We start from the raw sequence: 22,644 nt of genomic DNA on the forward strand, positions 1-22,644 counted from the left end.
CACCAGCGCGCCCATCCTGTCACTCGGCCCTTCCCGCCAAAGCATCTGGTGTCAGCATTATTGTATCCCAGGCATCTGGTGTCCGCATTATTCTATCCCTATACTCAACGCCACCTTTCCCCCTGCCCCTTGAGTCCAACAGCAGTCTCTTCCCCCTCTGCCTGTGGGACAGGGTGCATGTGAACAAAGTCCCCTCTCTTCACTTCCCAAAACCCCAGAGAAGGACCTAAGGCCGCTTTGGTTTCAAAGTTATAATGCATGGTTTAAAAGAGAGAAAAGGAAAAAAGACACAAAGCTGGTTACAGGTCTGAGGGAGTCTAAGGAGAGAAAAATAGAGGGAGAGTAAAGGGGGGACAAATTTAGGGAAAATCCAGTGGCCCAAAATCCCAGTATCCCACCCACAGCCCAGCCCTTGGAGCAGGAGTGAAGAATTAGATCAGTTTTGTACAAGAGTTTTTTAAAAAAAATCAAATCACAACAAAGCTGACTTGGCTTCTCTTTGAGCCTCCTGGATCACCGTATGTCTGTCACTCTGGCCAGTCCTGCCTCTTCACAAACACTGATTCGGCTCTCCTAGGCTTCCGCCTGTGTCCCAGTCTGGGGTTTCCATGGAGTGTGAACACGAAGTTAAGAGTGAGGCTGCTTCAGAGCCCCTGGCCCATGTGTCCATCCAGACTCCAAGTGGAGTGTAGGGCTCCCAGGGCAGAGAGGGGTGGGAGGGGCAGACCCTGCCCAGGCAGTCCTCACATTGGACAGGGCATCAGACGGCATCCCAAGGGCTCGCCCTCCCTTTCCCCCCCACCCCAACTCAGGTGGAGGGGGAGCAGCTGTCACCAGAGCCGATGTTGGTGAAGGTTTCGGCTCAGCACGGAACGAACATCAGCGGTGAACCTGGGGTGACAATAACTTGCATTGGTAGAGTACCTTATAGTTCATACCCTCACAACACTCTTGTAAGGCAGCATCACTGGAGATGTGGGACCTAAATTATCACCATATTCATGATTAGATAGGTTCAATTTGCCCACAGCCTACTAGCTAAAGTGATGAGCTTTGAAGTAAGACGACCTGGGTCCAAATGTTAAATTCTTAAGGGAACAGAGTTAAAACAGGACAAACCTTTTTTATTCCCTCTGAGGATCCCCCACCTCCTCCTTTCTTGAGATATCCAAGTGTCCAGAGCCCACTTCCCTTACCTGAGGGCATCCAGCATTGGGAGCAGGTTGAGAAGGGCTGTGTCGCTGGGGTCACTGAACCAGGATTTGATGGGGATGGCATTGTCTAGGGTGGGTGAAAATGCAGATGAGAAGAAACAGAATTCAAGAGAGACGGTGTTTTTCTCTTCTTGGAGGGAAGGAGGAATTATTGTTAAAAATATATGCCTCCCACTACCGGAAGTCAACAACCTAAGTAAAACTTTCCTGGTTTATGCTCCGAAACTAAGTTTTAATCACCAGATCTCATACCTATTGATGCTTCTAGTCAAGCTTACTGCCATTGTGCCTCACTTGAAACACACTTGGCCAGGCGCAGTGGCTCACACCTGTTATCCCAACACTTTGAGAGGCCGAGGTGGGAGGATCACTTGAGCTCAGGAGTTTGAGTCCAGCCTGGGCAACATAATGAGATCCCTTCTCTACTAAAAATCAAAAAATTGGCCAAGGGCAGTGGCTTACGCCTGTAATCCCAGCACTTTGGGAGGCCAAAGCGGACGAATCACGAGGTCAGGAATTCAAGACCAGCCTGGCCAACGTGGTGAAACTCCGTCGCTACTAAAAATACAAAAAATTAGCTGCGCGTGGTGGCAGGTGCCTGTGATCCCAGCTACTTGGGAGGCTGAGGCAGGAGAATTGCTTGAACCTGGAAGTCGGAGGTTGCAGTAAGCCGAGATCACGCCACTGCATTCCAGCCTGGGTGACAGTGCGAGACTCTGTCTCAAAAAAAAATAAAAAATAAAAAAATTAGCTGGGCATGGTGGTGCACGCCTGTAGTCCCAACTACTGAGAGGCTGAGGCAGAAGGATCACTTGAGCCTGGGAGATCGAGGCTGCAGTGAGCTATGATCATGACACTGCACTCCAGCCTGGGAACAGAGTGAGACCCTATCTCAAAAAATAAATAAAAATAAATTTTATTTTTATTTATTTATTATTTATTTTTTTTGAGACGGCGTCTCGCTCTGTCACCCAGGCTGGAGTGCAATGGTGCAATCTCGGCTCACTGCAACCTCCGCCTCCCGGGTTCAAGCGATTCTCCTGCCTCAGCCTCCCGAGTTGCTGGGATTACAGGCGTGCGCCACCACGCCTGGCTAGTTTTTTCTATTTTTAGTAGAGATGGGGTTTCACCATGTTTGTTAGGCTGGTCTCGAACTTCTGACCTCGTGATCCGCCTGCCTCGGCCTCCCAAAGTGCTGGGATTACAAGCATAATCCACCGTGCCCAGCCAAAAATAAATTTTAAAAATGAAAAAAATGATATAAGAAATCCGACTTATGAAATGGACATATATGGTATCTCATTTGAAACACAAAAATAACTTGCATTTCGACTTACAGCAAACTAGGGATAATCTAGGGAATCCCAGCTCTCAAGGACCAAAGCCCAGGTCTCCTGCAAAAATACCTTCTCAGAACCATGTTCTGGTCCTGCCAGACTCACCACCTTCCCCCGTACCTGGATGGCTCCTGTAAGCCCCTGGGGAGTTATCCAGGATCACAATGCTGGAGAGGTCACTGTGGACCACAGAGAGGTCCTTGATGTAGCTGCCCAACTCCAAAGTGCAGTGCTGGAAGGCAGGGGATCATGTAGCAGGCCTCTCTCCAGGATACTCTCCTCAAACCCAGATCCCTCCCTGGTGGCCTCCCTCCCAAGCCACACTCTTAGACTGGGATTCTAGCTTACCTGTCTGTAATATCTCCTCTTAAGAATGCTTCTGCTATTGTCCAGTTTATCTGCCACAGCAGAGCCATAGATCTCCATGCTTGCTGTAAACACCACCAGCTCGTACCACTGGCTCACCTGAAATAGATTGGGGGAGAGGGCGATGCCATACAAGGTGATGATTCCTTTAGACATACAGTTATCTTTCAGAAAGGCAATGGCATAGTCCTTCAGGCCTTCCATCAACATCAAATGTCTCTGAGGACACGAAATTCTGAACCCCCAGCCCAAACCTCCAAACTCAGTGTTAGGCATCCTACACTCTTATGATTCAGAAATGCAAGAACAAAAGAGAAAGATGCCAGCGGAAAAGAATTACATCAGCACAACAAATGAACCCCAAGTACTGAAAGCCACTCCCCTACCATTACACAGCCTCCCCTCTAGAAAACTGCTCTAACCCGTTTCTCCTCACCCCTTCCTCCAAATCCTCCCAATTCCCAGAGCCCTAAAACCATTCCTTCATTACAGAGCTCCCTTTAGCTCTCCAAAACTCACCACTTCCAGGAAGAAATCCACATGGGGCCTCTTATGTACAAAAAACCGGACAGGATGTTTGTCTATTACCACCTACAGAGGAACAAGATGGGCTGGGGGATGTCATGACCACCACAACCCAGGCCTAGAAAACGCCCCACCCATCTGCTTCCCTCCTCCAGGCTGACACTGGTGCCAGCGGATGGAGACAGATGCTCTGGGACTGGGAAAGGGAGTCCAGGTTTGGGCAGAGGAACAGATGGAACCATTTCATCACTCCCCACCACCACACACCTTGAGGATGAAGTCAGGAGGCGTACCAGGCCGGACTGTGGGCCTCAGGACCCCATCATGGTGGGAGTGAATAAGTGTCTCATCCAGATCCAGCACCAGGATCTTCCTCTTCACCTGGGCTGAACCAGAGTGGGGAGGAATAATATTGACCGACCTCTGACCCAGAGCTAGCCCCTACTTCACCCTAAAGGAGGCTTCCCACCACATACTTACCTAGCCGATTCCGGGACACAGGAGATAAGGGGAGGATATCATATCGAACAGTTTGGTACTGAATTACCTACAAATAGCACAAAAGAGGATTGAAACCCTTGATAAGGAAGCCTTCCCCAGTAACAGTAACAGGGAGCACATAATGAACATTTACCACAGGTACTATGTATGTAATTTAGGCTTATTTCTTCTTCTTTTTTTTTTTTTTTTGAGATGGAGTCTCGCTCTGTTGCCCAGGCTGGAGTGCAGCGGCATGATCTCGGCTCACTGCAACCTCCGCCTCCCAGGTTCAAGCAATTCTCCTGCCTCAGCCTCCCTAATAGCTGGGACTACAGGCGTGCACCACCACGCTCGGCTCATTTTTGTATTTCTAGTAGAGGCGGGGTTTAACTATATTGGCCTGGCTGGTCTCAAACTCCTGACCTTGTGATCCTCCTGCCTTTGCCTCCCAAAGTGCTGGGATTACAGGAATGAGCCACTACGCTGGCCTTTTTCATTTAATCCTCAAAACAACCATAATATTACTGTTATACCTGTTTTAAGGTTAAAGAAACTGAGGCCACACAGCTAGGAATTATCTTAAGTTGTTTCTCTCCCTAATTAAAATGAAAACTCCATGAGAATATGATTTTGTCTAGATCATGGCTGTATTCCCAGTGCCTAGAACACAGTAGCAAAAGTGGTCAGTTGATATTAGTAGAATCAGCCAGGCGCAGTGGCTCATGCCTGTAATCCCAGCACTTTGGGAGGCCAAGGCAGGCGGATCACAAGGTCAAGAGACGGAGACCATCCTGGCCAACATGGTGAAACCCCGTCTCTACTAAAAATATAAAAATTAGCTGGGCGTGGTGGTGCGTGCCCATAGCCCCAGCTACTCGGGAGGCTGAGGCAGCAGAGTGGCTTGAACCCAGGAGGCAGAGGTTGCAGTGAGCCGAGATCGCACCACTGTACTCCAGCCTGGTGACAGAGCAAGACTCCGTCGCAAAAAAAAAAAAAAAAAAAAAAAAAAAAGTAGAATCAATGAAGTGATAGAGCCAGGATTGTACCAATGCAGTTCAACCCAAGAACGTGCCCTCTTTTTTTTTCTTTTTTTTTTTTTTGAGAAGGGAGTCTCACTCCATTGCCCAGGCTGGAGTGCAGTGGCGCGATCTCAGCTCACTGCAACCTCCACCTCCCAGGTTCAAGCAATTCTCCTGCCTCAGCCTCCTAAGCAGCTGGGACTATAGGCGCGCGAACCACGCCCAGCTAATTTTTGTATTTTTAGTAGAGACGGGGTTTCACCATATTGGCCAGGCTGGTCTTGAGCTCCTGACCTCATGATCCACCTGCCTCAGCTTCCCAAAGTGCTGGGATTACAGGCAAGAGCCACCACCCCCGGCCGAAGCTGCCCTCTTAACTGTGATATTATCCTGCTACACTGAACAAAGAAACGACCCCCACAACGCAACCTTCACCCCAAGAATTATTTGTAGCAACTACCATCATTGGGAACTAAGTGCCTCAGATTCCCTAGTGCACATGGAGTAGGAGTCGGGAGGAGATCCCTGGGTCCTTAATGGGAATATAGAATGAGGGAATCCAGAGGTTGTCAGGTCAGCTAAGTTCCTCTGGCTAGAAGCCACCAGGCCTATTTTAACCAGCCACCTGTCCACTTCTGTCCCTTCTAGCCAAGTCACAAGTTCAGAGAACCTCAGCCCTCTGAACAGTCTCCTTATCCTGGTACCCAGGGTGAGGCAAAGAACACTGGAAAGCCCCTGCCAGGCTGACTGGCAGGGTCTGGAGGAGGCCAGAGTGAAGTCAGGGCCGTTAAGTGAGAGGTGAATAAGGGACAAGGACGTCACCACCTCATCCAGCTCTGCTTCTCCAAGCATTCTCTAGGGGCTATTTCCTAATACGCACATCTCCCCATACAAAGCCTGGCAATTCCCTCTTCCACACTTTTCTTCAAAGGTACAAACCCTCTTCAGTGCATACCTAGGCCCCAAGCCACACCAGAACCAGGTTCTCCCTTCTAAACCCACAGGGCTCTCTCCCCCTAATCAAGATCTGCCCTTCTTTTCTCCCTGGGCCATGATGAGGTCCGAAAGAGCTCCAGTGTCCAGCCTTGCTATCTCGGGTTGCATATGCTGGGCATGTAGGGAATGCTCCAAGCATCTGCCAGAAGCGGGGTGGGGAAAGAAACCAGATTGGAAGGGAAGGGAGGACAAAAGGCTATGGGGTCAGTGCTGCCCAAAGGAGAGCAATTTTGGAAGTAACCTGTGGATGAGCTGAAGCACCACTCCGTATGCCCAGAAAACTGATGTGTTGGAGCGAGAACGTCAGAGAAGATGGCAGTCAACCCATAAAGAAAACCGCTGGAGGCCGGGTGCAGTGGCTCAATCCCAGTACTTTTGTGAGGCCAAGGCGGGCAGATCACTTGAGGTCAGGAGTTTGAGACCATCCTGGCCAACATGGTGAAAACCCGTTTCTACTAAAATTACAAAAATTAGCCAGGTGTGGTGGCAGGTGCCTGTAATCCCAGCTATTCGAGAGGCTGAAGCAGGAGAATCGCTTGAACCCAGGAAGTGGAGGTTGCAGTGAGCGGAGATGGCACCACTGCACTCCAGCCTGGGCGACAAAGCGAGACTGTCTCAGAAAAGAAAAGAAAACCCCAGGAGATAGCCCCACACATATCCCAGCATCTCTGACCCTAAATTTTTCTTGGCTCCTAGCTCTTGTCTCGGGGGAATAGCGCTGCTGCCTACAGCCACAACCATCCTGTACTGTTCGCGCCCTAAATCAGGAAGTGGAAGCAGACTGGTAAAGGACAGAATGAACCCAAGGCCAGACCCATTCTCCCAAATCAGTTAAATCAACCACCACTACCACTGAGGGCTTTCTGGAAATTCTCTGGACCCCAGGTCACCCCAACCTGGGTTTATTCTTTCAAATTGTATTGAGGTATGCTAAGGGGTACAGACCACAGTACAGACCCAGAACCTGTGTCTCCGCTTACTAAATTCTCCCCAGACTCCTTCCGAGGATTCTCCCTGGTGGTGGTGAGACCACAAGAGCACATTCATTTAAAGTGCTGTTAGCTGAAGGACCTCTGACCTTGGAGAAAAGCTAAGGGAGAGGGGACCCAGAGATGCTTGGGTCCATCCGGACAGTTTCCCTCAGAATGCTAGGCTCTCCTGGAGAAGCAAACGTCCTCATTTTCAAGCCCTACAACTGCCCAGCGCTGTCCTCTGACAGGGACACCCAAACTTCAATGGTGGGCACAGCACCCACCTTGAACTCCCTCCCACAATTAAAGAGGCCCATCGTAAAAGCATCTGCTTTAGTCTTCAATAAATCCAGATACCTACACTCACACTATGAAATAAATTTTCACAGCCTTTTTGGAGGAATTCTCTTAATGGGAACCGCAGGCGTTTCTCCTTCACACCCAGGGCTTTCCCAAGTTCCCGTCCTTGTTTGTAACGTATGCCCTCCCACCCACCTCCACCCTTGACACACAAGTCTGTCTCTTCCTTGTTATAGGACCAAACACACACCGAGGTTCCAAATAGGGTCTTTCCCAAGCCCACATCCACAGATCCGGCTGTCATCAAACAGGTGTTCCCCGCCTCTTGGTTTCTTTAGCAACAACTCCAGCTTTCTTAAAGAGCGCCCCACCCACCACCTTAGCCCCCAAGAGTTGCCAAATCCTGTCCCATCTAGCCCCATCAAAACCCCCAAGGGCAAGGTTCTATTACAAGGGTCTCCCACCTCGCCCCGCTTAGGGTGCCCAATTCTCTGGCGAGAAAAGCCCCAGCCAGGATTCCCTTCCTAGGCCCAAACAGAGGCCCGACACTCCGAAAACCCCTGAGCACCACGGACAGATGTCCCCAACACCGCCAGACGTCCCCAACACCGCCAGCGCCCACCCTGGCTCACCGTGCGGATCTGCCTCCGCAGAAGGTAAATGAAGAAGCTCCAGAGCTTGGCGGCGAAGGCCACGAACGTGCGCAGCCCCAGCAGACACTGCGTCCGCATCATCCCGATGACCCCGGCACCGCCGGCCCCGGGGCCCCCGCGGCCCAGCTCCGCCAGCCCCCCGGGGGCAGCCCCCCGCCGCCGGGAGGGGGAACGGGGGCCCCGAGTGGCAGGAGAGGCTGCAGAGAGGGGCACGGAGCGGGCGGCTCAGAAAGCCACCCCTGGCGAGGGTAAAGCCCAGCGGAACGGGGAGCTGGGGGACAGGCGTGGGCAGCCCGCGGGGGCCCACATGGGCTGGGAGTGGCACCGACGGCTTCGGGGAGGTTGCGGGCCGAGACAGGTAGGGCTAGGATGGGGTCCTCCGAGACCTGGAGGGAAGGGGAAGGATAATTGGGGGAGGGGGCAGTGGGGGAGGGGGCTAGGGAAAAGGGAGGAAGGGAAAAGGGAAGGGGAGGGGGGGAAAGCAGAGAGTGGCCCGCTGCGCAGGCGCGCTAGGGGGCTGCTCGCAGGAACGGGGAGGGCGGGGGCAGCGGCGCGCAAAGGGCCGCGGCAGCGGAGAACGGGCCTGCAGAGCGAAGGAGCAGGGAAGGAGGGGGAGGGGGAGCCGGAGGGCGCAGAGCGCTGGGCCGGAGCGGCCTCCCCCTCCCCGAGCTCGGGGGTCCTTTAGCCGCTGGGGACCGGGGCTGCAGCCTCTGCAGCTGGGTTTCCCACTCTGACAGGCGCCATTTTACCGTCCAAAGGACTCCCTCTTCCTGTCTTTCCCCCTCCTCTTCCCCTTTGACACTACTTCCGGTGGTGACGTGTATTCGCTTCACCGGGACTAAGTTCCTCCTGCGCGGTCTATGGCGGGTAGGTATAAGGAAAGCCAAAAGCACTCCAAGCGAGGCTGCAGTATTGCGCACGCGCAGAAGGTGGCCGCGGGGCGGGGCCTGAGGCGAAGCAGGCCCCGCCTCAAACTGCGTGGGCGGGGAGAGTGACGTCACTTGGCCCGCGCTTAGGGCCCTCGCGGGGGGCTTGTGGGTCCTCCTCCCCCTCCCACTGACAACTGCCCCAACTGCTCTTCCCGCCCCGGTCACAGTGAAAATGTAGACGGGGTCGTTGTCCGTACGACTGTGCGCCAGGGCTCGGGGAGGGGCGCCCTCCGCGTGAGCGCCCCCCTGGGAATATTGAACATAATCACCTCTCATTCCAGACTATGTTAGGTCTTAATGGTGGGAGGACGCCCGAGTGCTCGGCCCGTTTCACCCCGAGGAGGAAGGACACTGGGTCATGACGCCATCAGAGGGCGCCAGAGCAGGGACCGGACGCGAGTTGGAGATGTTGGACTCGCTGTTGGCCTTGGGCGGCCTGGTGCTGCTTCGGGGTGAGAGCCAGAGGCACGGTGGCGGGGCGGGGGGTGCGGTTCGGGCCTGGCTGAGGGGACGGAAGTGGGCAGGAAGGGCCAGGGGTCACAGGCTAGGTGTGGAAATCGCGACGGGTTCGCGAAGGCGGTAATCCCAGCGCTCTCATACCCTTTATCCGTCCCTCGCTCTGCAGATTCCGTGGAGTGGGAGGGGCGCAGTCTCTTGAAGGCGCTTGTCAAGAAATCTGCACTGTGGTGAGTATCCCACAGTGTCTCCCCGGCCTACCCTGGATAGGGCACCTGTGCCCACTCTTTGACAATCCCTTCTCATCTCTGCCTTAGTGGGGAGCAAGTGCATATCCTGGGCTGTGAAGTGAGCGAGGAAGAGTTTCGTGAAGGTTTTGACTCTGATATCAACAATCGGTAAGTACCAGTTGGAAGAGATTTGATTAAATTTGAGACCTATAATGCTAAGGAAATTTCTTTACAACAAGCGCAGAACCTGGTATGTAGTAGCAGTTCCTTAAATATTCATTGAAGAATTGGATATGGATCTTTCAGGAGGCAAGAATTAATAAGAGGAGTGATGAGTATTTGGGGAGTCCAAAGCAAAGATCATAGAAGTCGAGAGAGAAATAGCCTGGAAATAGGGAGAACATGTGGGAAGGGTATTGCAGTAATCCGTTAATCCGGCTTCACTCTTTAAGGTACATATGTACCGAGCACCAACTATCAACCAGGTGCTGTGCAAGATACTGGAGACGGCAGTGAGTGAGACCTGTTCCTGACCTAATGAATTTTAGGGAATAATGGTAGGAAGTGATAGAGGCCTGGTTTAAGGCAGTGGCAGTAGAGATGGAAAGTTTAGAACACATGTAAAGGACTTTAGTGGGTAGAATTTCCAGGATTTATTGACTAATATGGGGGAGAAGAAAGTATTGAGATAAGGAAGTTCCTAAACCCAGCGGCATGCCTGATCAGGAGACATTAAGAACCATTAGTAGGATGCTTTCTACTTCCTAGTCCCGGCAACTCAGTGGATGATAATAGTAGTTTACATCTTATCTGTTGAGCCTCCAATTTTGCATCAGCCATTGTTGTGATAGAGGCGGTGGTGTATGTTCAGATGGCATTCCATGGCTGGGCGCGGTGGCTCACGCCTGTAATCCCAGCACTTTGGGAGGCTGAGGCGGGTGGATCACCTGAGGTCTGGAGTTCGAGACCAGCCTGACCAACATGGAGAAACCCCATCTCTACTAAAAATACAAAAAATTACCTGGGCATGGTGGCACATGCCTGTAATTCCAGCTACTCAGGAGGCTGAGGCAGGAGAATCGCTTGAACCCAGGAGGCAGAGGTTGCAGTGAGCGGAGATCACGCCATTGCACTCCAGCCTGGGCAACGAGCGAAACTCTGTCTCAAAAAAAAAAAAAAAAGCGGGCACTCCACAAGAGAAGATAGAAAAGAGATATCTGGGAAAAAAAGTTCTGCTACCTATGCCAGTCTCCCTTTCCTGAGCTGTTTTTTCTGTAGTTGTTACTTCTTGACTTAATTCTTGACTTTCTTTAAGCTGTTCTACAGGCAGGACCAAATCTCACGTCCTCTGCTTTCTCTTTTTTCACCCAGGGTGATAATCTTTAGGTGCCACACACAGGAAATATTTGATAATGGTGATAACTAACATTTATCAGGCATATACTATGTGTCAAGCACTGTGCTGAATGCTTAGAGGTTGGCATCTCATTTCACCAATGAGGCAACTCTTAGAAATAATGTATCAGTTAGCTGACCTTGGGCAAGTAGCAAAGCCAAGCTTGGAGATCAGGCTGTCAGACACCAAAGTCTGTGCTCTCAATCACTGTATGCTCTCTCTCAGTAATTATCTTTCACTAATATTTAGGATATTCATAAAAATTGAGAAAACAGCCATAAAGATCAGAGGATGAACTTTGTGATCCTCTCGGGGGAAGGGGCAATATTATATTGTGTCTTATTTTCCCTTTGCAGGCTGGTTTACCATGACTTCTTCAGAGACCCTCTCAACTGGTCAAAAACTGAGGAGGCCTTTCCTGGGGGGCCGCTGGGAGCCTTGAGAGCCATGTGCAAGAGGACAGATCCTGTTCCTGTCACCATTGCTCTCGATTCACTCAGCTGGCTGCTACTTCGCCTTCCCTGCACCACACTCTGCCAGGTCCTGCATGCTGTGAGCCATCAGGACTCTTGTCCTGGTGAGACCCCTCCTTCATTGTTTCCCCTCATACATCTCCCTCTGCCAAGGAGTGTGCCCCTTTTCCTTTCTACCCTAGAATAAACATCTGGGTTCTCCAGTCAGACCTTTTTTCATTTTTTTGACTTTTTTGTCTGTTTTTTTTTTTTTTTACTTCTCCTTAATGCCATCTACCATTTGCTTTTTTTTCTCCAAGTTATTTTTTTACTCATTTGTTTCACTCATTCATTCATTTAACAAATCAATAGTAAATATATACAATGTGTCAGGTACAATTCTAGATAATGGCAAAATACAGACTGACTGTAGCTGGGTCCTTGCCTTCCAGGAGCTCGAAGTCCCATAAAAGATGGAGATAAGTAAACAGGCAGTTACAAGATGGTCTGATAAAGGCCATGATGATACAGGCATGCACAGGGCACCTTAAAGAAGGGCACTCTTGGCCGGGCGCGGTGGCTCACTCCTGTAATCCTAGCACTTTGGGAGGCCGAGGTGGGTAGATCACAAGGTCAGGAGATCGAGACCATCCTGGCTAACATGGTGAAACCCCGTCTCTACTAAAAATACAAAAAAAAATTAGCCGGGCTTGGTGGCGGGCACCTCTAGTCCCAGCTACCCGGGAGGCTGAGGCAGGAGAATGGCGTGAACCCGGGAGGTGGAGCTTGCAGTGAGCTGAGATGGGCCACTGCACTCCAGCCTGGGCGACAGAGCAAGACTCCATCTCAAAAAAAAAAAAAGGCACTCTCTTGAAGAGCAAGAGGTCATCCAGGCAAATTTGGCCGGGCAGGGGCACTGAGACTAGCCTTGAAGTGCACTGTGGGTACTCGAATGGACTTAGGAGTCAGACGCCCAGCTTTGTATTAAGGTGCTTGATCTCTCATTGCTTCACTTTCCCCTGTATATGGGGGAAGGTACAAGGGAAGTATTAGGATGAACCACTATATTGCCATTTCTTAGGTTAAAAGTTGTTAAATATTGTCTGGGCGCAGTGGCTCATGCCTGTAATCCCAGCACTTGGGGAGGCCAAGGCGGGCGGATCACCTGGAGTTGGAGACCAGCCTGGCCAACATGGTGAAACCCTGTCTCTACTAAAAATACAAAAAATTAGCTGGGTGTGGTGGTGCACGCCTGTAATCCCAGCTACTCGGGAGGCTGAGGCAGGAGAATCACTTGAACCCAGGAGGCAGAGGTTGCAGTGAGCTGAGATCACGCCACCGTACTGCAGCCTGGGTGACAGAGAAAGACGTCATCTCAAAAAAATAAAAACAGTCCGGGCGCAGAGGCTCATGCCTGTAATCCCAGCATTTTGGGAGGCCAAGACAGGTAGATCACGAGGTCAGGAGTTCAAGACCAGCCTGGCCAAGATGCTGAAACCCCGTCTCTACCAAATACAAAAATTAGCCAGGCGTGGTGGCACGCGCCTGTAGTCCCAGCTACTCAGGAGACTGAGGCAGTATTGTTGAGCCCGTAGCAGGGGTTGCAGTAAGCCAAGATTGCGCCACTGCACTCTAGCCTGGGCGACAGAGCAAGACTCCATCTCGAAAAAGAAAAGAAAAAAAAATTGTTAAATGTCAGTGATTTCATACAGTTTGACCTAAAAACGCTGACCTTTGTAAGGATTCAAACATTGTGTTAAAGCGTTTAGCATAGTACCTGACACTCTCTAAATGCTCCCAAAAAGGGAGGCAGAGAATTGAAGGCACTGACTGAGATCTTGGGAAGTTCCAGAAACTACAAGTACTTCCGTGTGTAAGAGATGAGGCTGGAAAGTAAGTGGACACCACCTGCTGGAAGCGTTCGTTCCATCCTGAAGGCAGGAGCTGCTGAAGAATAGAAGTTAGAGCGGTGCCTTGATCAGCTTTACATTGGGATGATAGAGGAGATTAAGGTGTGGGCTGGAGGAGGCTCAGAGCACGGTAGTGAGATTGGCCAAGGGACGTCAGGATTTTGGCAGCACTGTGATGGAATTGTGAGGCTCTCTCTTCTTCACTGTTAGCTCCCAGGCCACCAACCTGAATGCTCCCTACTATCCTACATTTCTTGTCCTCCTCTAGGTGACAGCTCCTCAGTGGGGAAAGTGAGTGTGCTGGGCTTGCTACATGAAGAGCTTCATGGACCAGGCCCTGTGGGAGCTCTCAGCAGCCTTGCTCAGACTGAGGTGACCCTGGGCGGTACCATGGGCCAGGCCTCGGCCCACATCCTGTGTCGGAGGCCCCGACAGCGCCCAACTGACCAGGTCAGAAGAACCAACAGAGAAGGACTGGAAACGGGGGACAGAGAAAGGGGTGGCACGATGGGAAGAACAATGAAAATGCTGATGTTTCAAGGAGACTTTAAAAACAAACTTTTTTAGAGATGGGGTTTCACTGTGTTGGTCAGGGTGGTCTCAAACTTCTGGGCTCAAGTGATCCTTCCACCTCAGCCTCCCAAAGTGCTAGGATTACAGACGTGAGCCACTGTGCCCAGCCCTCAGTGAGACCTTTTTTTAAAAAAAGCTGATTTAGGTATTTCTCTGTTTTCTATCACTCACTTCATTTAATCCTCTCAGCTATGGTTAAGGTAGATTGTTTTATTATCACCATTTTTCAGGCTGGAAAGCCAGTCCAGGGAGGGTTTTATTCCCTTGGAGTTTTTTTTTTTTTTTTTATTGGACAAGGTCTCACTGTTGCCCAGGCTGGAGTGCTGTGGTGCAATCATAACTTACGGCAGCTTTGACCTCCCATGTTCAAGTGATCCTCCTGCCTCAGCCTCTGGTGTAGCTGGAGGTGGGAGCACAGGCATGTAGCACCACATCCAGCCAGCTTTTTAGTTTTTTATACAGATGAGATCTCACCCTGTTGCCCAGGCTGGTCTTGAATAACTAGGCTCAAGCCATCCTCTGGCCTTGGTCTCCCAAAGTGCTGGGATTACAGGTGTGATCCACTGCACCCGGCCCAAGGAGGTTTAAATTTAAGTCACTTACCAAGGTTATAAAGTGTAAGTGGGGCCCAGGCGAGGTGGCTCAGGCCCATAATCCCAGCACTTTGGGGGGCCGAGGTGGGCAGATTGTGAGGTCAGGAGTTCGAGACCGGCCTGGCTAACATGGTGAAATCTCATCTCTACTAAAAATACAAAAATTAGCTGGGCATAGTGGTGGGTGCCTGTAGTCCCAGCTATTCGGGAGGCTGAGGTGGGAGAATCACTTGAACCTGGGAGGCGGAGGTTGAGGTGAGCCGAGATCATGCCACTACACTCCAGCCTGGGCAACAGAGTGAGACTCCGTCTCAAAAAAGGAGTAAGTGGGCTGCTCTGCCTAAGGAGTCGCCATCCTTTTATTCCTTTACTTCCTTAATCAACTTGCTTTCACTTTTGAAAATAAAATAGAGGCTGGGCGCAGTGGCTTACACCTGTAATCCCAGCATTTTGGGAGGCCGAAGTGGGCAGATCACCTGAGGTTAGTGGTTTGAGACCAGCCTGGCCAATATAGCAAAACCCCATCTCTACTAAAAAGACAAAAATTAGCTGGGTGTGGTAGCACGTGCCTGTAATCCCAGCTACTCGGGAGGCTGAGGCAGGAGAATCACTTGAACCTGGGAGGCGGAGGTTGCAGTGAGCTAAGATCACGCCACTGTACTCCAGCCTGGGCAACAAAGCCAGACCCTGTCTCAAAAAAAAAAAAAAAAGTTGAGGGCAGGAGCTGAAAGCAGTCAGTTAAATAGGTGATTGGGGGCTGAGGATGTGAGGTCCTGGAGTCTGTCTAGTTTCTTCAGTAAGATGAAAAAAACTCTTTTCTTTTTTCTCTCCAGACTCAGTGGTTCTCCATCCTTCCGGACTTCAGCCTGGATCTCCAAGAGGGGCCCTCTGTAGAGTCCCAGCCCTACTCCGATCCTCATATACCCCCGGTATCTAAGAATGCCAAGGCCAGAACAAGGAAATGTAGTTTAGTATCTGGTCACGGGAGAGAAAATAAAAGCTGCAGAGGTTGGGGGTGGGGTCAGGGATTCTAGGGATGGGGCAGAGTGGCAGCATCCTTTGTACCTACAGGTGGATCCCACAACTCATTTGACCTTTAACCTTCACCTGTCCAAGAAAGAGAGAGAAGCCAGAGATAGCCTGATCCTGCCCTTCCAGTTCAGTTCTGAAAAGTAAGGTTGGGACCTGGGTACGTGGATCCCTGAGTAGATCCCAGCATCTGGGCCATGGAGAGGTTGGGGCAACAGGTTATTGATTAACCTGACTTTATAGGGACTGAAGTCCACCTCCAGAGACAAGTCCAAGTTCTTGATCCACCCATTCCCCCTATAATGGCAGAGGACCTTTATGTCTCTTTTCTCTCCCTTATACCCTTGGGTCACAGCTCCAGTTGTCCCCAGAGCACCCTGGGCCTGGGCTGAGCCAGACCAGACCCTTGGGAGGTGGCCCTATCCCTAGGCAGTGGTGCTAGGAGGACAGAAGGCTATATGGGCGTGGCAGAGGCTGGTTAACAAGGGCTTAGTACACGCTTGCTGTTCTGTGCCCAGTATGTGGGCGGATGACGCAAGACTACAAGATCCTTGCCCTCAAGCTGCTAGGAACTTACGGTTTTATTAGGAGAGCAGTACAAGGGTATCTATCCCAGTACCAAATGGTGCTTCAGCTCTAACATGGAGGTCAGAGAAAGGGACTTGGACCAATAAAATGACATGGAGGCCTAACAGGTTGCCTGAATGAGAGTCACAGTCACCTGGAAGAAAGTATCCAGACCCAACCTGTTAGCTACCCTCACCAGCACCAAATCTTCCCTTCTCAGACAGCAGGCTCTCCTGCGGCCTAGGCCAGGGCAGGCTACCAGCCACATCTTCTATGAGCCAGATGCTTATGATGACCTGGACCAAGAAGACCCAGATGACGACCTGGATATTTGACTGGCCAGATTTGATTAGATTGTAATTGGAGGGGGCGCGGGAAGACTTTGGGCCCAGAACCATCTTTCTATTGTTTGTGTTAGCCTTACCCTGTCCCTGCCCCACCTTGGTTCCCCTTGTCTATGGAGCCCCGCCTTGTGAGCCAGGAAGCAGCGTCTCATCAGGACAGAAGGTAGGATGAAGACATGGGGTAATGTGAGAGAGTAGAACACCCCCGTACCTAATAAAAATCTTTATTTTTTTATTAAAAAAGAAGTACTTTGGTAGCTATTTAAATAAGAGGGGGGTGGGAATGAATGTCGAGATACGAGCACCTGCATCTTTTAGTCAATTGTCAGTGGAGTCAGTGGGGTGCTAAGTGTTCTGAACTGAAGTAGGTGCACTAAGGTTCCAAGCTCCCTGCAAGGATCTGGACGGGAGGAAAGCAGAGGCCCTGAAGGGAAAAAAGCCTGCTTCCCAATACTTATTTTTTATTACTGTACAAAAAGCACACTCTCCCTCTTTTTGTCTCTCCCACCAACGGCACCCCCCCACCCCCAACCCAAGAGGACTATACATGGAGTGCAGGGACAGAGTGACCAGGAGGCCTTTGTCCGGCACCCTGCCCACAGGCTGAGCTCAGCCCCAGGCCCTTTCAGGCATCTAGACACTCCCATAGCCTGTCAGGCTGGGGCAAGGAGATCCCAGGTCACACATACTCCTTGGAAGAGTTGGACTTAGGGTAAGAGCGGGGTACACGGTACCCAGCCTTGCTCTCATTCCCAGGACAGGAACAGGAGAGCAGTGCACCTCCCAGGATGACTAGGGCAGACCCTGCCCAGCCAATAAAGATGGCAGGGCCAAACTCATACCTGTGAAGAGAAGGGGGTGGTTAGAAACCCTGGCGTGCCTCTGCCCTCCTCCCTATTCCAGGACCCCAGACCTGTCCCCTTAGGAGGCAGGGTTCCCAGACTTACTTAATGTTGGTAGGGATCAAAGGGTTATAAAAGTCTGTGACAATCTGATGGCCATACCAGGAGCAAGCTACCAAGGCGGCAAGACCTGGAGACAGAATGAGGGTTTCAGTATAGTGAGGCCCCAAATGGGCGCCTTGCCCAGCCTTGCTCCTCCCAGATGGGAGAACCCGGGGGCTCACCTGCCACGATGAAAATTATGCCTCCACCCATGGCTATACGGGCCTTCTTCACTTTGTCGTCTCCCCCACAGCGCGTGCACTTCATGCCCATCGTGGCCACAAACATGGCCAGGAAGCCCAGCACCAGGGAGACCACCATTAGGGCTCGAGTGGCCTGCAAGGCCGCTGCGGGCGAGGGGAAAGGGCGCCGTCATTGCTGGAAATGCAGGCGGCTCCAGCCTTCGTGCCGCCGGCCGCGCCCACTAACCGCTGGACCTCTTCTGTCCGGCGCCGTGTTCTGCCGAGGGCCAGGGGCGCCCAGGTGTCCAAGACCTGGGCCAAGCGGGCAGGTCCCCGCCCCTCCCGACAGCGCGGCCTTCCTGCTCCCGCCCCGCCCTCTCCGCTCAAGGATCCGCCCGGGGCGCCGGGGTTTCGGTGAAACTGCCCTGGATAGGGGGAAGGGTGAAAGGGTGCAGCGAAGAGAAGCCGAGACGGTGGTCCGAAGCCCCGCGCGGCGCACATGCCAGCCGGCGTCCCTGCTCTGAGCCCGCTATCGAGGCCACCGGGTTTGTGGCTTCGGCTAATCGGCCGATAAGATTAGAGGCAGCAGGCGGCGGCCCACTCTGACCAGCCGCACCGCCCTTCGGCCCTCGGCGCGCCCCGTGCCCCGCGCCCCGGGGCCGTTTCTGTCTGAGAAAAGGACGGGAGATGACGGAGGCCATGGCCTGCCCGGGAATGGAGGAGGGGATGGCCCCGGCCTAAGCACCGCTGCTCCGAGCCGGGGACGAGGCTGGGTTGGGGGAGGAAGAGGAACGTGGGCGACCGAGGTGCGCGCCCACGTGCAGCCGCCGGAACCCCGGCCCGCTCCCGCCCAGCCCCGCCGCCCCCAGCCGACCACTTCCTCGCCCTGCAGCTCCCCGGCAACCCAGGGCCCCCAGCCGTGGGGCCTCGGCTCTCCCACGCGCGCCACCCCGCCACCTCGGTCAAGGGCGCGTCCGCCCCGTCGGTCCCGCGGCCTTACCGGACAGGGCGAGCACCGAGTCGTACATTTTGCAGCTCATCATCCCCGTGCTCTGCGTGACGCAGTCCATCCACAGCCCCTTGTACATGGCCTGGGCCGTGATGATGTTGTCACCCGCATAGGAGCTCATCTGCCACTGCGGGATGGCGGTGCAGGCCACCAGACCCACCCAGCCCAGCAGGGCCATGGAGAAGCCCAGCAACTGCAGGCCCGAATTGGCCATTTCCGCCCTCAGAAAACACTGGGGGCGCCGGGCGGGGAGACCCTACAGTAAAACAAACGACACTTGGGGGGCAGCCCCACAAAAGAAAACTTGAGGTGGAGTTTTCCGGTCACCCAAAGAGACAAAAAGGGTTTGGGCCAGGTGAATGCAAATCTTGTCACCAAACTACACACAAATCGACCCCTCCAGTGAAGCGATGGCCTCGCGGCACAGGGAGTAGGATACGCCGGGAGGGTGGTTCCAGACAAAATTGGTGGTCCCCGAAGGCCAGGCGGTTCCCTCCGGGCGCTCTCGGCGACCCTAGGCAAACAAAAGGTGGAGGGGCCGTCTGGGCGCGTTTCTGAGCGCCGGCAAGTCCCAAAGTATCCTGGGCTGTAGGTCCGAGGCTGCGGTGCGCAGCAGAGGTGGCTCGGAGGTGAGCCAGCAGGTGCGGGCGGACAGGTGGGGCGCACCTGAGTATATGTAGGGCGTCGGGGGCGCGGCCCGCGCGCCCCGGGAGCGCGGGAGGGGGAGGCGGGACCGGAGGGGCGGCCGAGGATGACCTGACGTCACCGAAGGGACACTCACCTGAACCGGAAGTCGTGGCCCCCACCCCTCCTTGCCCAGGTGAGGAGGAAGAAACCTGAGCACCAGGGTCACGCCCCTTCGCTTGCCCGGTTTTGACCGCCGCTGGGGAGGAGGCGGTGGCTCCCCAGGAGTCCCAAGCTCCGAGTCAGCCCCTCCGGACTGGATTTCCCTCGAACACCGGGAAGCCCCTTCCTTTCTTCCCAACAGGTGCGCCTGGGACGCTGCGGGGCGCCCCTGACAAGCCTCGGCGCCGCCCTTTCCCCGCCGGGTTCTGTCCAAAGTGCTCTCTCCTCGGCCCTGCTTTCGCCCCCACCCGCTGCTCTCCTTTTTTTTCCTGTCTCCTACCCTGGTCGATCCCACCTTCGGGGGCCCTGGCTCGATCCCTGAGAGTCGCCCCCTTCAGCACCCTCTTCAGTGTCCCGGTTCTCTGGCTCTGCTACAGACACCCGGCTTAGCGTGGCTCCCCAACAGCCCCACCTTCCTGTGCCCCCATTCCAACCCAACATGACTTACAGCCTGAACCCTTTGCACTCAACCTCCCCACCTACCACTGTCCCCTCCGGCATCAAGGCTCCTAACTGGAGGAAGAAACCACTGGGACCTAAAGCCGGCCGAGGGTGGGGAGCAGGGTGAGGGCTAGGTCAGAGTCTTGGCCACACCCATCGTTCCCCTCCCTTAGAGTCTTTTCAGACCTATCCTCCACCTTTCCCACCCCTCCCCCACACTCGCCCGTTTCTCTTTCCCTCCCGGGCCTGGGCTTGGACTGCCAATTGCTGTGCACTCTGTCACGCCTCACTGTTCCGTCCTCCCTATAATCTGGCTCTCTAAGGTGGTCGTCCATGGTCCCTCACCCTGCAGTCCTGCTATCTCTCCCCAAAGCATTGCTCCCTCCTTCCTCCCGGCACCCCTTCCAGCCTTTTGCTCCTTCCTCCTTCATCTTTGGTCATCTCCCCTTCCTGCCTTTCCTGCTTTGGAGCTTCCTGTTTCACTCCTTGTCTTTTTTTTGTTGTTGTTTGAGAGGAGGAAGTCTGTGTTACCCAGGCTGGAGTGCAGAGGTGCAATCTCGGCTCACTGCAGCCTCGCCTCCTGGGCTCAAGCGATCACCCCGCCTCAGCGTCCCCAGTAGCTGGGACCGCGGGTGCACACCACCACGCCCAGCTAAAGTTTTTGTATTTTTGGTAGAGAAGGGTTTTCACCATGTTGCTCAGGCTGGTCTTGAACACTTGAACTGAAGCAATCCCCCTGCCCCCACCTCCTAAAGTGCAGGATTACAGGCGTGAGCCACCGCACCCAGCCCACTCCTTGTCTTTTCGTTTACCTTTGCGCCTTGTCTCCAGTCTCCTTGGAACCCAGCATCAGCAATTAATCTTTCTTTCCTCTTCTTAGGTGCACACTGCACTTTCCCCACCCACCCTGCCCAGTTTCCTCCCAATCTTCCTACTACCCTCCAACCTCCTCATACTTCTCAGATTCTCACATACCCTGCTTATTCTGGCTCTCTCTCATTTCATTTTCCTCTCTCCATTTTTTACCTCAACTCTCTCACGTTTTTTATCTTTGTTTTGCCCTCTCAAACATTTCTCTGTCTTTCCTTCGTTTATTCGCTAAACATATTAAAGTCCCCCTTATGCTAAGCTAATTGACCTGCTTTTGTATAAAATGAAGACTTTCATGAACTCTTTTTTTTTTTTTTTGAAACAGAGTTTTTGCTCTTGTCGCCCAGACTGGAGTGCAATGGCATGATCTCGGCTCACTACAACCTCCACCTCCTGGGTTCAAGTGATTCTCCTGCCTCAGCCTCCCAAGTAGCTGGGAGTATAGGTGCCCACCACCACGCCCAGCTAATTTTTGTATTTTTAGTAGAGACGGGGTTTCACCGTGTTAGCCAGGCAGATCTCGAATTCCTGACCTCAGGTGATCCCAACCCACCTCGACCTCCCAAAGTGCTGGGATTACAGGCGTGAGTCACTGCTCCCAGCCATGAACTGTTTGTTATTCGTTTTTATTGTTGTACTTTTGGATTAATGGTACTTTTCTGGATTAATGTACTCTTAGAGGCCGGGTCTCACTCTGTCGCCCAGGCTAGAGTGCAGTGGTACAATTATAGCTCACTGCAGCCTTGAACTCCTGGGCTCAAAGCATGCCCCCCCACCCCCCAACAAATAGCTGCAATTACAGCCACGTGTCATCATTGTTCTGGCTTTGTTTGTTTTTTGAAACAGAGTCTCGCTCTGTCACCCAAGCTGGAGTGCAGTGGCACGATCTCGGCTCACTGCAACCTCTGCCTCCCGGGTTCAAGCAATTCTCCTGCCTCACCCTCCCGAGTAGCTGGGATTATAAGCGCGCACCACCACGCCCAGCTAATTTTTTGTATTTTTAGTAGAAACGAGGTTTCACCATGTTGGCCAGGCTGGGCTCAAATTCCTGACCTCAAGTGATCTCCCTGCCTCAGCCTCCCAAAGTGGTGGGATTACAGGAGTGAGCTACCGCAACTGACTTTCCTTTTTTTTTTTTTTTTTTTTTTTTTTTTTTTTTTTTGAGACGGAGTCTTTCTCTGTCGCCCAGGCTGGAGTGCAATGGCACGATCTCAGCTCACTGCAACCTCCGCCTCCCGGGTTCAGGCCATTCTCCTGCCTCAGCCTCCTGAGTAGCTGAGACTACAGGCACCCGCCACCACGCCCGGCTAATTTTTTTGTATTTTTTTAGTAGAGGCGGGGTTTCACCGTGTTAGCCAGGATGGTCTCGATCTCCTGACCTTGTGATCCGCCCGCCTTGGCCTTCCAAAGTGCTGAGATTACAGGCGTGAGCCACTGCGCCCAGGCTGGAGTGCAATGGCACAATCTCAGCTCACTGCAACCTCTGCCTCCCAAGTTCAAGCAATTCTCCTACCTCAACCTCCCAAGTAGCTGGGATTACAGGCATGTACCACGACACCCGGCTAACTTTTTGTATTTAGTTGAGATGGGGTTTCACCATGTTGGTCAGGTCGGTCTCGAACTCCTGACCTCAGGTGATCCACCTGCTTCGGCCTCCCAAAGTGCTGGGATTACCGGTGTGAGCCACTGCGCCTGGCCCCGACCTTTTTTTTTTTTTTTTTTTTTCCGATGGTGAGATTTTCTTTTTTTCTTTTTAATTTTATTTTATTTTGAGACGTAATCTTGCTCTATTGCCTAGGCTGGAGTGCAGTGGTGCGATCTCGGCTCACTGCAACCTCCGCCTCCCGGGTTCAAGCAATTCTCCTGCCTCGGTCTCTTAAATAGCTGGGATTACAGGCGCGCACCACCACACCCAGCTAATTTTTGTATTTTTAGTAGAGATGGGGTTTCACCATGTTGGTCAGACTGGTCTCAAACTCCTGACATCGGGATCCGCCCGCCTCGGCCTCCCA

The 22,644-nt window shown here is 52.8% G+C and overlaps 3 protein-coding genes across 11 annotated transcripts, besides 12 other annotated features; 1 reads left to right on the plus strand and 2 right to left on the minus strand.

Annotated features, from left to right (window-relative positions):
• Positions 1–236: 236 nt before the first annotated feature.
• CTDNEP1 (CTD nuclear envelope phosphatase 1) lies at positions 237–8,624 on the minus strand. Of its 2 annotated transcripts, NM_015343.5 has the most exons (9): positions 8,445–8,624; positions 7,841–8,247; positions 3,923–3,989; positions 3,710–3,828; positions 3,437–3,508; positions 2,900–3,016; positions 2,672–2,783; positions 1,197–1,281; positions 237–891 (listed from the first exon to the last, which is right to left on the minus strand). In NM_015343.5, the coding sequence occupies exons 2-9, from the start codon at positions 7,940–7,942 to the stop codon at positions 831–833; spliced, it is 735 nt and encodes a 244-aa protein (NP_056158.2). In that variant the 5' UTR covers positions 7,943–8,247; positions 8,445–8,624; the 3' UTR covers positions 237–830. The 2 variants fall into 2 exon arrangements, with proteins under 2 accessions (NP_056158.2, NP_001137247.1); NM_001143775.2 differs by lacking the exon at positions 8,445–8,624 and having other exon boundaries at positions 7,841–8,380.
• Positions 7,983–8,570: an enhancer, noted in NCBI's record as "H3K27ac hESC enhancer chr17:7154656-7155243 (GRCh37/hg19 assembly coordinates)". NCBI's record gives its function as "activates a minimal SCP1, AML or CMV promoter by ChIP-STARR-seq in primed H9 embryonic stem cells {active_cell/tissue: H9 hESC(primed)}" and the evidence as "EXISTENCE:reporter gene assay evidence [ECO:0000049][PMID:30033119]".
• Positions 8,108–8,227: a silencer, noted in NCBI's record as "silent region_8095". NCBI's record gives its function as "represses an Ori minimal core promoter by ATAC-STARR-seq in GM12878 lymphoblastoid cells {active_cell/tissue: GM12878}" and the evidence as "EXISTENCE:reporter gene assay evidence [ECO:0000049][PMID:35858748]".
• Positions 8,298–8,507: a silencer, noted in NCBI's record as "silent region_8096". NCBI's record gives its function as "represses an Ori minimal core promoter by ATAC-STARR-seq in GM12878 lymphoblastoid cells {active_cell/tissue: GM12878}" and the evidence as "EXISTENCE:reporter gene assay evidence [ECO:0000049][PMID:35858748]".
• ELP5 (elongator acetyltransferase complex subunit 5) lies at positions 8,370–16,586 on the plus strand. Of its 6 annotated transcripts, none has more exons than NM_203415.4 (9): positions 8,370–8,728; positions 9,072–9,242; positions 9,416–9,476; positions 9,564–9,644; positions 11,229–11,449; positions 13,503–13,684; positions 15,234–15,329; positions 15,472–15,572; positions 16,217–16,583. In NM_203415.4, exons 2-9 carry the CDS (start codon positions 9,197–9,199, stop codon positions 16,329–16,331), a joined length of 903 nt encoding a protein of 300 aa, NP_981960.2. In that variant the 5' UTR covers positions 8,370–8,728; positions 9,072–9,196; the 3' UTR covers positions 16,332–16,583. The 6 variants fall into 6 exon arrangements, 5 of the variants coding, with proteins under 5 accessions (NP_981960.2, XP_011522081.1, NP_056177.4 ...); XM_011523779.3 differs by lacking the exon at positions 8,370–8,728 and adding an exon at positions 8,861–8,991; NM_015362.5 differs by lacking the exon at positions 8,370–8,728 and adding an exon at positions 8,861–8,983.
• Positions 8,571–9,159: an enhancer, noted in NCBI's record as "H3K27ac hESC enhancer chr17:7155244-7155832 (GRCh37/hg19 assembly coordinates)". NCBI's record gives its function as "activates a minimal SCP1, AML or CMV promoter by ChIP-STARR-seq in primed H9 embryonic stem cells {active_cell/tissue: H9 hESC(primed)}" and the evidence as "EXISTENCE:reporter gene assay evidence [ECO:0000049][PMID:30033119]".
• Positions 8,571–9,247: a biological region, named in NCBI's record as "H3K27ac hESC enhancer GRCh37_chr17:7155244-7155832".
• Positions 9,028–9,247: an enhancer, noted in NCBI's record as "active region_11606". NCBI's record gives its function as "activates an Ori minimal core promoter by ATAC-STARR-seq in GM12878 lymphoblastoid cells {active_cell/tissue: GM12878}" and the evidence as "EXISTENCE:reporter gene assay evidence [ECO:0000049][PMID:35858748]".
• Positions 9,278–9,517: a silencer, noted in NCBI's record as "silent region_8097". NCBI's record gives its function as "represses an Ori minimal core promoter by ATAC-STARR-seq in GM12878 lymphoblastoid cells {active_cell/tissue: GM12878}" and the evidence as "EXISTENCE:reporter gene assay evidence [ECO:0000049][PMID:35858748]".
• Positions 16,549–19,859, minus strand: CLDN7 (claudin 7). 3 transcript variants are annotated; one of them, NM_001185022.2, is made up of 5 exons: positions 19,805–19,859; positions 18,467–18,989; positions 17,467–17,631; positions 17,288–17,372; positions 16,549–17,182 (listed from the first exon to the last, which is right to left on the minus strand). In NM_001185022.2, the coding sequence occupies exons 2-5, from the start codon at positions 18,687–18,689 to the stop codon at positions 17,020–17,022; spliced, it is 636 nt and encodes a 211-aa protein (NP_001171951.1). In that variant the 5' UTR covers positions 18,690–18,989; positions 19,805–19,859; the 3' UTR covers positions 16,549–17,019. The 3 variants fall into 3 exon arrangements, with proteins under 3 accessions (NP_001171951.1, NP_001298.3, NP_001171952.1); NM_001307.6 differs by lacking the exon at positions 19,805–19,859 and having other exon boundaries at positions 18,467–19,124; NM_001185023.2 differs by lacking the exons at positions 17,288–17,372; positions 19,805–19,859 and having other exon boundaries at positions 18,467–19,124.
• Positions 17,513–17,562: an enhancer, noted in NCBI's record as "active region_11607". NCBI's record gives its function as "activates an Ori minimal core promoter by ATAC-STARR-seq in GM12878 lymphoblastoid cells {active_cell/tissue: GM12878}" and the evidence as "EXISTENCE:reporter gene assay evidence [ECO:0000049][PMID:35858748]".
• Positions 17,763–17,892: a silencer, noted in NCBI's record as "silent region_8098". NCBI's record gives its function as "represses an Ori minimal core promoter by ATAC-STARR-seq in GM12878 lymphoblastoid cells {active_cell/tissue: GM12878}" and the evidence as "EXISTENCE:reporter gene assay evidence [ECO:0000049][PMID:35858748]".
• Positions 17,964–18,927: an enhancer, noted in NCBI's record as "NANOG-H3K27ac-H3K4me1 hESC enhancer chr17:7164637-7165600 (GRCh37/hg19 assembly coordinates)". NCBI's record gives its function as "activates a minimal SCP1, AML or CMV promoter by ChIP-STARR-seq in naive H9 embryonic stem cells {active_cell/tissue: H9 hESC(naive)}" and the evidence as "EXISTENCE:reporter gene assay evidence [ECO:0000049][PMID:30033119]".
• Positions 18,073–18,162: a silencer, noted in NCBI's record as "silent region_8099". NCBI's record gives its function as "represses an Ori minimal core promoter by ATAC-STARR-seq in GM12878 lymphoblastoid cells {active_cell/tissue: GM12878}" and the evidence as "EXISTENCE:reporter gene assay evidence [ECO:0000049][PMID:35858748]".
• Positions 19,076–19,370: an enhancer, noted in NCBI's record as "tiled region #7888; HepG2 Activating non-DNase unmatched - State 10:DNaseD". NCBI's record gives its function as "activates a minimal TATA promoter and a strong SV40 promoter by Sharpr-MPRA in HepG2 cells {active_cell/tissue: HepG2}" and the evidence as "EXISTENCE:reporter gene assay evidence [ECO:0000049][PMID:27701403]".
• Positions 19,860–22,644: the final 2,785 nt, after the last annotated feature.

This window comes from Homo sapiens, chromosome 17 (genome assembly GCF_000001405.40).
Source record: "Homo sapiens chromosome 17, GRCh38.p14 Primary Assembly".
Taxonomy (NCBI): Eukaryota; Metazoa; Chordata; class Mammalia; order Primates; family Hominidae; genus Homo; species Homo sapiens.

Bases quoted from the DNA above. Each gene is read 5' to 3' on its own strand.
- ELP5 (XM_011523779.3), top strand. From the start codon at position 9,149: ATGACGCCATCAGAGGGCGCCAGAGCAGGGACCGGACGCGAGTTGGAG. The intron at 11,450-13,502 runs GTGAGACCCCTC...GTCCTCCTCTAG, and splicing joins CCATCAGGACTCTTGTCCTG to GTGACAGCTCCTCAGTGGGG. The intron at 13,685-15,233 runs GTCAGAAGAACC...TTTTCTCTCCAG, and splicing joins GACAGCGCCCAACTGACCAG to ACTCAGTGGTTCTCCATCCT.
- CLDN7 (NM_001185022.2), bottom strand. From the start codon at position 18,689: ATGGCCAATTCGGGCCTGCAGTTGCTGGGCTTCTCCATGGCCCTGCTG. The intron at 17,373-17,466 runs GTGAGCCCCCGG...TTCTGTCTCCAG, and splicing joins CATAATTTTCATCGTGGCAG to GTCTTGCCGCCTTGGTAGCT. The intron at 17,183-17,287 runs GTAAGTCTGGGA...TTCTCTTCACAG, and splicing joins TTGATCCCTACCAACATTAA to GTATGAGTTTGGCCCTGCCA.
- CTDNEP1 (NM_015343.5), bottom strand. From the start codon at position 7,942: ATGATGCGGACGCAGTGTCTGCTGGGGCTGCGCACGTTCGTGGCCTTC. The intron at 3,829-3,922 runs GTAAGTATGTGG...ACTCTGGTTCAG, and splicing joins TGTGTCCCGGAATCGGCTAG to CCCAGGTGAAGAGGAAGATC. The intron at 892-1,196 runs GTAAGGGAAGTG...TTGTCACCCCAG, and splicing joins CCAATGCTGGATGCCCTCAG to GTTCACCGCTGATGTTCGTT.